General features: G+C 42.6%; 1 long non-coding RNA gene across 1 annotated transcript, besides 3 other annotated features; it reads right to left on the bottom strand.

Annotated features, from left to right (window-relative positions):
- Nucleotides 1-6,655: 6,655 nt before the first annotated feature.
- Nucleotides 6,656-9,675, bottom strand: LOC124900958 (uncharacterized). Its single transcript, XR_007058727.1, has 3 exons — nt 9,540-9,675; nt 7,198-7,315; nt 6,656-7,035 (listed from the first exon to the last, which is right to left on the bottom strand). It is a non-coding gene; the product is annotated as an uncharacterized LOC124900958 (long non-coding RNA).
- Nucleotides 8,069-8,569: an enhancer, noted in NCBI's record as "H3K27ac hESC enhancer chr5:34527167-34527667 (GRCh37/hg19 assembly coordinates)". NCBI's record gives its function as "activates a minimal SCP1, AML or CMV promoter by ChIP-STARR-seq in primed H9 embryonic stem cells {active_cell/tissue: H9 hESC(primed)}" and the evidence as "EXISTENCE:reporter gene assay evidence [ECO:0000049][PMID:30033119]".
- Nucleotides 8,570-9,070: an enhancer, noted in NCBI's record as "H3K27ac hESC enhancer chr5:34526666-34527166 (GRCh37/hg19 assembly coordinates)". NCBI's record gives its function as "activates a minimal SCP1, AML or CMV promoter by ChIP-STARR-seq in primed H9 embryonic stem cells {active_cell/tissue: H9 hESC(primed)}" and the evidence as "EXISTENCE:reporter gene assay evidence [ECO:0000049][PMID:30033119]".
- Nucleotides 12,077-12,600: an enhancer, noted in NCBI's record as "OCT4-NANOG-H3K27ac hESC enhancer chr5:34523136-34523659 (GRCh37/hg19 assembly coordinates)". NCBI's record gives its function as "activates a minimal SCP1, AML or CMV promoter by ChIP-STARR-seq in naive H9 embryonic stem cells {active_cell/tissue: H9 hESC(naive)}" and the evidence as "EXISTENCE:reporter gene assay evidence [ECO:0000049][PMID:30033119]".

Here is a 12,894-nt window from a genome sequence, read left to right as displayed (position 1 = left end):
TCTACGTGATTTAGTCTGCTCCTCTGGAGGCTTTCCAGACCTGGAGCAGCTTTAATCTATCAAGGTGATGAGTTCTGAGTAGTCCTTTCCATTTGGCCATTTTCTAAACTCTCCTTGGGAAAAGTTGTATTTAGATTTATCCCCTTTCAGATCAAAGTCATCTACATTAGCACTAGAACAGAAACCTCCCAGACCTTTTCCAGGCATCAAGGACTATTTTGATGACTTTGTCTTGAATTAATACTTTTCTACCTGTTAACCTTCTCTGATCTTTCTATTGTTGACTACCTATCAGGTTTAATGGCAGCAACATGGCTCAGATTATTTTCCCTTGGTTGTTCTCCAATTATCTCACACATTCAATATTTGCTTCTGTTACTCTATGAGAAAAGAAATTATTTAATATAGTTTTATCATATTTCTTAGAACTTAGCACAGTAGTGGGGGCATAATAGGATCTCAATGAATAATACTTGTTTGAATCAAATTAGAGAGAGTTATGTAGATTTTTACATATGATCAAATTGTTTTTGTCTTATTTTTAAAACTCAGACTATAAATTCAAGTTGTCATTATCATGACTTTCATGTTGTTGTTGCTGTTGTTTTATAAACTCTTTTATGGCCATTGCTCAAAAAGAACACATGAGTATTTGAGAAAGAATGGAGGCTCTGATACCACAATGTGATTTTTGTTGTTGGCTATGACTTTGGAAATAAGGAATGTTCAGTCAATATGCATTCCAGAGTTCCAGGCCCACACGTTTTGGCTTGATTTCAGAATGTGGACTCTATTAATGGATACTTGAAGTATATATAATTTTCCATTATTTATGCAGTTGACTTAGAATGGAATTTTCTTTTTCTTCATCTTCCAGAAGCTCAGTGTTGCTTTAGTTCCAACATGTACTTACATAATTCTGTGTAAAACAGAGAGCTCTAGTATTTCCTGAGCTTTGACCACTTGACTCCTCTGAGTTCCTTCTGGGCCTCCTCCTCCTGCGAGAAGGTAAGTGCACGTGCCGACAAGAGGAGAGGCAGGATGGAAGGTTTCAGTGTTTAAGAAACAGAGAAAGATGTGAACCATGTAATATACACATATATGAGAGAACCTGGGAGAAACTCTGGGTTTCATGTTTCAGTGCAAACTGTGGGGCTTACATCTAGTTTATTCAAAGCATCCTAAGGGTTTAAAGTCTGTACAGGAAGCTGGGCCTGGCTGATGACTTCATATTGAAATCATGCAAAACCCATGAGCTCATGAGCTGGGAGATGAAACTGGATGAGACAGAAATGACTTCAAGTGAAATTGCAGTAAGTCTGTACAGGAGCATTCAAACTTGGAGAGGAGAGAGTGGGTAAAACCAGGCCACTGGAATTTGGAGATTGTCTTGCAAGAACTTGTAGTAAAATGAAACTACTTGATTTCACTCAAGCCCTTGAAAGACTCTTAGAAAAACTGTATAAGAACTTGAAAACCAAGGAACACTTTCTGTTTGCTTTTCATTCTCTCTGAATTTTGATGAGTGCCATTCTCAATACTTAAGGTGGACAACAAGGTCAAGACTATTTCTGTTGTTCTTCCTGCCCTCTCTTCCTGTACAATCCCAATGCACCATTATCAAATAGCTCTCACCAAACTGTGCTGCATAGAGAGTCTCAACATATGTTTGTCAGCTTCTTTGTCTGAGACAGCTGGGCTTGGAGAGCTGCTAGACTTGAGGTTTCTTAAAGCTCAGGCTGGGGTGGGTGGTGTCGATATTGGCCCTTGGACTCTGATGGTCCAAGGAAGACCTGAGTGACAGTGCTCCAGAACTACATCTATACAAGTCAGGCAGATGGGGAAGAGGGGGGTCGATGATCCGAAGGAGGATCAGAGTGTCTTAGTCAGCTTGGGCTGCTATGACAAAATACCATAGACTAGTTGGCTTAAACAACTGAAATTTACGTCTTACTGTTTAGGAGAATGGGAAGTCAAGGTGCCAGTCTGGTTAGTTCCTGGTAAGGCTACTTTTCCTGGCTTGTAGATGGCTGCCTTCTTGCTATGCCCTTACATGGTTGGAGAGTGAGAAAGCAAGCTGTCTGGTGTCTCTTTTTATGAGGGCTCTAATCCCATTATAAGGGCCCTACACTTATGGTCTCATGTAACCCCTCCCAAAGGCTCTCTCTAAACACTATCACATTGGAGGATAGAGCTTAGCATATGAATTTTAGGAATTCAGTCCGTAGTAGAGAGGTTGAACCCAGGTACAGAATAAAAACGGAGAAAACCTTACCAAAGACAGTAAGTTCAATGGAGTGACAAGGCCCTAGAATGCATTCAAAAGTGATTTTCCTAGGTCACCAGAGTCTCCCTTGTTCCTGGAGGGGAGGCTAAGTGCCCTGTGCTGGTCAGTTGCCTAGAACAGAATCCACTCTAGTAGTTTTATATAGAAAGGATTTATTTCAGGTATTTATATGCCTTATAGAATCATCGAGAAGGCTGAAGAAGCAGATTCGAACTTAAGCTTTCAGGAACAACTCCCTAAGTGACACCAAAGAATCAGGCCCCCAAAGAAGCCATGGTTTCTTCTGCATTAGGGAGGCTGCCTTCCAAACTAGGGGGCTGGCCCTGGAGGCCCCTGCCATTGGTAAGATCAGGAGGCTCCTATGGTCTGGAGGCTGCTGCCACTCCGACCCTTGCTGCACCTGCTGCAATTGGCATTACTAAAATGAATGTATGACACACACTCTCACACTCAGAAAACTAGTAGTCAGAGGCTAGAACTTCTCCCACCACCACAGGACAACAGACACCTCCATGAGTGGCCTGCTTGCAGGAGCAGCAAAAACAGCAGAAGCAGGAAAGCCTGGTTTTCACTAGACCCACTTCTAACAAATGCAGGGAAAGGCACAGAAGTACAAATGGAGGCCAACTTACCATATATCTCGACAGCTGAAAGTTACAAACCAAGCTACAAACTGCTCAATAAGGTATATCACACCCTTTTACTTTGACAAATATACCTTCATAACAATGTGGACTTCCAGGGAAGGCAAACACTTAGCACACATACTGTCCTATCATACCCTCCACCCCTGCACCGAGGACAGACATTACTAATTAATCACAGCATTTTGTCCAGATTTGGCCTCAGGATCCTCTTCGATATAGTTCTCCGGGCAGCCCTTGTCAGCCAGAAGAGAAAAGCAAGATGAAGACCTTTTCCAGCCTGCTCTCAGCAGTGCCTATAACTGGCTCAGGCCATAGAGACCAAATGTACAAATCCAGGGTCAAATTTAGCTTCGTGGACCCCTCTGAAGTCCATGTCAGAGTGCAGCATTGTGGGGAGAGCTAGTCTCCAGCCCAGTCTCTTTCCACCATTGTCTTGCTGTCCTGCACAGCTAAGGCCTTTTTGCCTACACATGTGGACACTCTGGTTCACATGTCCAAGCCCTGTTCATATTGTACAACCCCCATCCGCCACTGCCAACAGCTGCCCATTGGCCACGCCTCGTGGAGCCTGCTTTGCTCGACAATTTTACTGTTGGTATCTACATCCCTTATTGTTTTCTTCCCTATCCAAGCAGTTGATTTCAAGGATTTGGAAAAGTAAGACATGTTTCCCTTTACAAAGAATCAAGAAAGTGCTGGTCTGCAGCCTGGGAGACAGTGTAATGAGGCAGCAAGATTCGTGGAATTCAGCAGTATAAGGTTGCATCTGGCAAGTTTCCTAAGTCCTCAAAGCCTCAATTCCCGTATCTCTAAAATGTGAAGAATCAGATCTACTTTTTAGGGAAATGCAGAAGACGTACTTAATATAGCACCTGACACAGAGTAAGTACTCAAAAATATGTTAGCTATTTTTATTATTACTATTTATTTATTTTATTTTTTTGAGATGCAGTCTTGCTCTGTTGCCCAGTCTGCAGTGCAGTGGTGCAGTCTCAGTTCACTGCAACCTCCACCTCCCAGATTCAAGCGATTTTCCTGCCTCGGCCTCCTGAATAGCTGGGACTACAAGTGCCTGCCACCATGCATGGCTGATTTTTGTATTTTTAGTAAAGACAGGGCTTCGCCATGTTGGTCAGGCTGGTCTTGAACTCCTAACCTCAAGTGATCCACCCGCCTTGGCCTCCCAAAGTGCTGGGATTACAGGCCTGAGCCACTGCACCCAGCCAATGTTAGCTATTATTATTTTTGTGCTGGTTGTAAATTAACAGGTAGGAGAAAACAAATTTAGGCTCTTCTTAGATCTTGAACCATATTTCCTTATGTTATATACTTTATAACTATATGTGTGTTTAACATGTATTGTATAATTAATGAATAAAATGAGTTTTAAAAATATTATTTGATTTAGCTGATTCTTCATCTCATTATGAAAATTATTTTTATTACTATTATTTTAAATTTTATTTTAGGTTTGGGGGTACATGTGAAGGCATGTTACATAGGTAAACACATGTCATGCGGGTCTGTTGTACAGATTATTTCATCACCCAGATTTTAAGCCTAGTACCCAATAGTTATCTTTTCTGTTGCTCTCCCTCCTTTCACCCTCCCCCATCAAGTAGACCCCAGCGTCTGTTTTGTCCTTCTTATTTTTAGCCAGATTTCTAATCAGATGGATTTGTACACTTGGTATCTGTGACTTGAGCCAGTTATAGGTACTGCTTAGAGCAGGCTGGAAAAGGTCTTCATCTTGCTTGTCTGTTCTGGCTGACAAGGGCTGCCCAGAGAACTATACTGAGGATCCTGAGGCCAAATCTGGGCTAAAATGCTGTGATCAATTAGTAATGTCTGTCTTGGGTGTGGGAAAAGATAAGACTGTATGCGTGCCAAGTATTTGCGGTCCCTGGATTGTACTCTCTTCCTGAGAAGTAAGAAAGAAGATGGACTTAAAGAGAAACACTGGGTTTGAGTCCCACTTCTCCTGACTTTGTGACTATGGGCCAGGAGTTTAACCTGCCTTTCCTTAGTTGCTTCATCTTAAAATAAGAATAACCAGGTTTGCCGGGTGCGGTGGCTCACACTTGTCATCCCAGCACTTTGGGAGATGGAAGTGAGTGGATTGTTTCAGCCCAGGAGTTCAAGACCAGTCTCAGCAACATGGCAAAAACCCATCTCCACAAAATATACAAAAATTAGCCAGGTGTGGTGGTGCACATCTATACTCCCAGCTATTCAGGGAGTCTGAGGTGGGAGGATTACCTGAGCCCGGGAGGTCGAGGCTGCAGTGAGCTGTGATTGCGCCACAGCAGCCTGGGCGACAGAGTGAGACCCTGTCTCAAAAAAAAAAAAAAAAAAAAAAGAATAACCGAGTTCATCCTGCTTACCTCATGGGTTTATTTGTGAGGATGGAATGAGACAATGCTTGTAAAAGCACTGTCAATTGTGAGGTGTTATATAAATGCAAGGTGTTTGTTATTCGTGTGTGGTATTTGGCCAGTTGCTACTTGCTGAGGAGGGAGAGCCAAGTCAGTATGTCTGGTCTGCGTCTGCCTGTGTCCTCTCAGTCCAGGCTCTGCATCCTCCTTTAGCTTCTGAGCGCTGATCTATGCGGGGAGAGCGTGGCAGAGCAGAAAGAACTTGTACTTAAAACCAAATGCTGGCTCCCGCATGGACTGTGTGATTTCAGTCAAGTTGTGTAACCTGGGTGAGCCTCAGTTCCTTCATTTTTAACATGGAGATGTAAATAAAATAATAAGGACACCCATCTTAACTGTCCCCCAGGGGCTGCATTGTATAGCTCAAGGGCAATATACACCAAAGCACTTGGGAAACTCAAAGTATGAGTTGTTTTGATTTTTTAATATGATCTGAGCCAAATGCATTCTTTCTCTATAACCCTCCCCCACTCCACGATCCCTAAACAGCCTCTGACATTCTTGTCCTATCCCTGGTTCAAATTGCAGCACAGCCTCCATGAGCTCTGTGTCTAATCTAGAGAGCCAAAGGCAAAATCCGGATTGGGCCAAAAATTAGAGGTCAGAAGAACATGCAATGAAAAATGAAAGTTAGTCCTCAAAACAGAGGTGGAGTGGGGCCGTGGCCTGGGCTGGGCTGGGAGGTGCTGGAGAGGCCCAAGGACAGGCCCTCCTACATCCATGAGGAGCAAGGGGAGGGCATGAAGAAAGTCACTGGGCCCTGTGAGAAGTCAGAGCCGGCTGGTGTGAAGAACAGGCTGGCCCCAGAACTCTAGCCCTAGGCAGTTCCTTAGGCCCTGACTTGCTCTTGGCAACTCTTCAAAAGGTTCTGGGCCCTGGCCCTAGAGCATTATAGGCCTTGCATCCTGAAGTTGCCATGGGACACTATACCCACTTGTAGCCTAAGCAATGAGAGTAGCACAGTATGACCAAAGCTCTTTATATTTGTTTCTTTTATTATTATTTTTTTAAACAGAGTCTCTCTCTGTCATGGAGGCTGGCGTGTAGTTGTGCGATCACGGCTCACTGCAGCCTTGACCTCTCTGGCTCAAGTGATCCTCCCATCTCAGCCTCCTGAGTAGCTGGGACTACATGTGCCACCACATCTGGCTAATTTTTGTTTTAAAATTTTTTAGTAGGGACAGGGTCTCATTATGTTGCCCAGGCTGGTCTCAAGTGATCCTCCTGCCTCAGCCTCCCAAAGTGCAGAGATTACAGGTGTGAGCCACCATACCTGGCCCTGTATTCATTTCTTAGGGCTACTATAATAAAGTGCCACAAACTACATGGCTTAATCAACAGAAATGTATTGTTCGGAGGCTTGAACAGCTCTGGAAGCTTGAAGTCCAAGATCATCCAGATGTTGGCAGGGGTGGCTCCTTCTGAAGACTGTGAAGGAGATTCTGTTCCATGTCTTCCTTCTAGCTTCTGCTGGTTTCCTGGCAATCTTGGGTGTTTCTTGGCTTGAAAATTGTCCCGATTCCTGCCTTCATCTTTACATGGTGCTCTCTCCAACTTCATGTCTGTCTCTGTGTCCAATTTTCCCTTTTCATAAGGACACAATCGTATTGGATTAGGGCCTACCCCCATGACCTCATCTGAACTTAATCATCCGCAAAGACCCCATCTGCAAATGAGATACTGGGGATTAGAACTTCAACATATGAATTTTGGGGTGACACAACTCAGCTAATAACATTCTCCTTGCTTCTCTCATGATTATTCAAAACAAGATGGGTCAATGAAGACCGGGAACAAGGTAGAACTAAACCTCAGAGTAACACGGTACCTGCTTTTGTGCAATTAGCAGCTGGAGAAGCAGTTACATTTTGCAGACTATTTCCTCATATTCTGCTGGTGGATGGGGAAAGGCTTCCAATACAGCATCTTCAGAGCTTAGAATAGTCCTGATATGGAGCAGATGCTCAATAAACATTAATTGAATTAGTAATGAATAAAGGAAACTCAGCACAGACTAGCAACTATTTACAATTTATTCTCTAGTAGCCTAGACTTTTCCTGGCTTGGAAAAAGAACACAATAAATGGTCATTGAATTTGCAATCAGTTTCTCCCATATAGGACAATGGGCTTATCTTTTCTTTTTTTGGAGACAGAGTGCAGTGGCAAGATCTCAGTTCACTGCAACCTCCACCTCCCGGGTTCAAGTGATTCTCCTGCCTCAGCCTCCAAAGTAGCTGGGACCACAAAAATTAGCCACTATGTCCAGCTAATTTTTGTATTTTTAGTTGAGATGAGGTTTTGCCATGTTGGCCAGGCTCGTCTTGAACTTCTGGCCTCAAGTGATCTGCCCGCCTCGACCTCCCAAAGTGCTGGGATTATAGGCGTGAGCCACTGCGCTGGGCCACAATGGCCTTATCTTTAAGAGCTGGGCCTTATCAGGAGTGGAATGAAGAGTGTCAGTGGTAAGTCGCAGAGGTGTTGGCCCCTTCCTTATTCTTGTTTCTCCAGCTACTCCCAGGTGGTCTCACTGTACCCCCTTGGCAACCTAGGGCCCCATTCTAAAACAAATCTAGAATCCTGAACAGAGTCTGATATTCTAAGCTGTGAGAAAATCTGTTTCCTTACCAAAGCTTATTGATCCTGCATCTCCCTTATACACCAGCATTATAGAGTTGGATGTAACCTCAGCAATCATGGAGTTCTACCTTTTAATTTATAAATGAAGAAACTGAAGTTCAGAGGAGTGAAGCCATGACTAAGTCCACATGGCCAGGACTCCTGACTTGCCACCATGTCTCTTCTTTTATCCTCGATTCTGTTTTCTTTTGGTAATGAATTTAGCAGAGGACAGAGAATGCTATAGTCTAATTGAAATGCTTAGGCGTCCCCAGAGTGTGAGGCCAGTGGTGGGGCCTCGGGGTATCTGGCTTGTTGGGAAGGGGCACTGGCTCAGGCCCTTCAGACTCTCAGCTTGGAAGCTGTGCTGCCTGGCTGGCTGTTTGCTTCAAGAAAAGCTGCCTTTTATAATAATTCCAGACTCCCTTGCCTCAACTCTCCCACTATCCAGAGACAAGACAGACCTTGTGGGAAGCAAGGCTGTGGCCCAATCTTGACCTCCTTGACACCGGGCTGCCTTTTCTAGTTTCCCAATTCTTAATTGCCCCTGGCCAATTTCACATCCAAGAATGAAAAATGACTCCAGTCTACTGGTGGTTGAACACGCTGATGGCTGCAGGTGCTTCCTTTGCACAACAGCCAGGCCAATTAAAGGGCAAGATGTGACCCAGACAGTCACCCTTGAAGCTCTCTACCGTTTACAATGTTCTGAAAGAATGCTGGTGGGTGCCCCAACAGTCACCTGTGTGCTTCCTTAGCACCCTGCCAGCCCTGCTGATGCTGTTGCAATAGCCTATCATTGTTTAGCATATGTCAGGTGCACTTACAGAGGGTGCCTTATCTGAAAGGCCCTGAGCATATGCAGTTGGCCCTCAGTATCTGTGGATTCCATGACTGGATCCAATTAGCCATGGATAAAAAGTATTTGGAAACAAATTGCATTTGTACTAAACATGTACAGACTTTTTTCCTCATCATTATTTCCTAAATAACACAGTGTAACAATTATTTACATAGCATTTATATTAGCAATCTAGAGATCTTAAGTAATCTAGAGATGACATAAAGTATACAGGAGGTTGTGCATAGGTTATATGCAAATACTGCACCATTTTGTATCAAGGACTTGCGCATCTGTGGATTTTGGTGTCTGAGGGAGGTCCTAGAACCAATCTCCCATGCACACCAAAGGACGACTGTATTTGTAAAACCTAAATTCTCATTAAGAAGCTGAAGTTAATAAGTAAAAACCAACCAACCAACCAACCAACCAACCAACCAAACTAGTGAGAGGGGGTAAAAGTTTCCATTAGGATGACTAGATTTAACAAAAAAATACAGACAGGAAACTCAGTTAAATTTGAATTTCAGATAAACAACAAATGTTTTTTGATGTACATGAATTCTGTGCAATATTTGGGACATACTCATACTAAAAATTATTTGTTATGTACCTGTATCTGAAATTCAAATGTACCTGAGTGTCCTATTATTGATTCAACCACCCTAGTTCCTGTGGAATTCCATGGTCAGGATATCCGATGAAACAAACCTTGACTCTTGACTGTTGGAACTAAATCTGGGAATCTGGTACTCTTCCAGTTCTGACATTGGCAGGTCTTCTTGATTGTTGCTGTTCCCAAATGAGGGACCAAGTTCTTCGGGGAGTTCCACAGGAAGGCTCGGGCATGACCCGGCTCCTGGGAACTCCCTATAACAGGAGGTGCACAGCCAGTTCACGGAAAATGCAACTGTCACAGTGAAGTCAGCATGTTTTTATATATGCAGTCTAATCACAAAGTGCTTTCGGATAACCTTCTCATTTGATTCCTCAACAGCCCTGAATAGGGCTTAGCAAATATCTTCTCTGCTTCAGATGAGAAAACACTGAGGTGATGTTGGCCAAGTCAGTGCCAATTAAGCAGTGAGTTAAGGGTCACCTGAGCTGTCAGGCCCTAAGACCAATTTTACCTTGCTTTTTTGTTAGAACAGACTACTTTGTTACTAAAGTCAAATACACTTTTCCAAAACCATTACATTATGGGTTTTTTCTATTTATAAAAGTAATATTTGATTATTGCAGAAAACATGAAAATCACAGACAAAAAAAGAATAGAAGAGAAATCAGCAAAGGAAGTAATTCTACCCTTGTGAGATAACTACTGCTAACATGGAGGTGTATGGCCTTCCATTCTCTGTCCTTCTTATATATATTAATATATGATCAGTTTTAAATAAGAAAGGCCAAGTCCTCTTACACACATGCATGCATATATGAATGATAAAAATATAAATGTATGAATAGTTGTATACGTGAAGCTCATCATATGCATATGTGCACAAACATGTCTATACGTAATATGAACTTATATTATTTTGAAATTAGATTATTTATTTTTGGCATTAATCAGATCTTAAGACTGAGCACAAAAATGAGGTGAAAATCACCAAATAAACTCTGGATAAAGAGTGTAGGCAATGGCCGGGTGGTGTGGCTCACGCCTGTAATCCCAGCACTTTGGGAGGCTGAGGCGGGCAGGTCTCTTGAGCCCAGGAGTTTGAGACCAGCCTGGGCAACAAGGCAAAATCATCTCTACAAAAAAATAGAAAAATCAGCCAGGTAGGTGCCTGTAGTCCTAGCTACTTTGGAGGCTGAGATGAGAGGATCACCTGAGCCGGGGGAGGTCTTAGCTGCAGTGAGCCATGATTGTGCCACTTTACTCCAGCCTGGGCGACAGAGCGAGACTCCGTCTCATAAAAAAATAAAAAATAAAAAAATAAAAATAAAAAGAGTGTGGGCAGTGAAGGACATGAGAACAATGTCTCACCACAGTGATGAGTGAGCCTATCCTTCACATTGAATCTGTTCCTAATTAAAAATGAGTGTTTGGTGGGTAAAGAGGGTAAAGCTAAAAAGATCTGTCCCTAATGCTTTCCCACTGAACTATTGACTTACCCTGACTACTACCTTGTCAACAATTTATCTCCCCTTTGGACATAAACATTGATAATCCAGAACTGATGTTGCTGTGACTCCAGTAGCACTTGGTACTCAGCTGTAATATGTCTGTGATCAATGTTTTCATCGATATGTAATGCTTATATGCAACCTTAGAACCACTTCTTGTTTGAAGGTCTTGAGATGATTATTCATTTGAAGAGGTCAATACTTACATGACAATATCTTATATGACAACTAAAATGGTTTATTTTTGCAGTTACCAGATATGACAACTTAAGACAACATAGTCTGATGGTGGCCTGGGGCCAAATCAGAAATATCTGTTGGGACACACTCCTAGGCTATGAGTGACTCATAATCACTTTCACTGGCCTTGCTGTAGGCTCAGCCACATATGACCTGCTATGTCTCAGAGAAACTTCTCTCCTTTCTCTTCCAAAATAAATCTCAAAACACCCAACACTCTATGTAAGCAAAGCTATTCAGAGCTTCGCAACTCTCTAGCATGGCATCAGATCCTGTAGAAAGTTATAGGAGATACCCTGGGGATTGAAGATGCTGCACCACCTCATTACAAAAGCTTGAGTGCATCTGACTCTCTGGGTCTCCCTTGCTAGCACAAACCACTCAAGAAATATGTGGCTATGAAAATCTACGATCAATGCTGGCATCATTATATTTGATTATTTCTTGGTGTGTGAATATATATAAACACTATATGCTGAGTGTTCCCCATCTTAGGCATTTATTTTGTAAAGTGATTATATTTGTATTTCCTTCATCTCTCACCAGGCAGACAAACTCAGTTTTAAATATATATTAAATCAAATGAAGACCTATAAAAAACACATCCATCAGAATAGATTAGCGTCTACAACATTGTGCTGTAACATGGTTTTTTCAGTGTGAATCTTGCTTCGAAAGTAAAATGTTGGAAAGCTTTGTTTAAATCTACCAAGCAGGAAAACCAAATGAATACAAAACAAAATCTCAGCTGGCCAATTGTTTCAGACCCAAGACCTGTTCTATTTATTGTTTTTGTAAGAAATAGTTGCCTGGAACATCATTTCTATGGCAGAAATAGTGTCAAGTTCCTAAGGAGAAGAAGTAGGAGGAAGCTCTAAGTGTAAACACCCAAACAGTGGAAGGAAAACCACACATCACTTACTTTGAAAACAGTAGCTGCTTGGGGCCATGATTTTGACGAATCATAATGAGCACTCACAAATTGATTTAATATTAAAATGCATCCAAGCAGACTTTGAAACTATAATTCTCTGACAGTGGATGGACTGATGAAACTCACCAGGAAGGCCAGTTACTCAGGCCTGCGATGTCTTCGGTTATTGAAGACATGTGATTGCCACCTAGCGGCCAACATTAACTTCACCTGGAAGGTCGAGCAATTCTGCAGCCCACTTTGCCCAATGCATAAGGACAACAGTACCAGTCTTTGTCAGTACTCAATTCAAATTCCTTAACACTTCCTCTTTTATCACATCTCTTTGTTCTGTGTAAGTCACCTGTTTACCATCTCTAAGACCAAACATTTTCCTTCACTCCATGTCATTAGTCCCAGAGAGCCTAAGAACCTATCTGCAAAATTCCCTCCATAGTTCTCATTCCATTTCCTTTTTTTTAAACCACAGTTGTTCTATTGGTAAGAAGAAGGGCTCCTGCCTTCATTTTCTCCACCCAGCTTCTTCCACTTTCTCTCCTCCTATTTCACGTCACAAGACACAAGGGCGTCTTGAGAGAGAGGCTTCTGAAAGAAAGCTTGGTAAGGATAACTGAAAACCTGAGAACAATAGTGTCAGAGGCTTTTGAACCAGAGCAACTCCATCTTGAAGAGGGGCTGGGTGAAATAAGGCTGAGACCTGCTGGGCTACATTCCCAGGCAGTTAGGCATTCTAAGTCACAGGATGAGACAGGAGGTCAGCACAAG

Source organism: Homo sapiens, chromosome 5, assembly GCF_000001405.40.
Source record: "Homo sapiens chromosome 5, GRCh38.p14 Primary Assembly".
NCBI lineage: Eukaryota > Metazoa > Chordata > Mammalia > Primates > Hominidae > Homo > Homo sapiens.
This window is presented reverse-complemented; position numbering and strand designations above follow the sequence as displayed.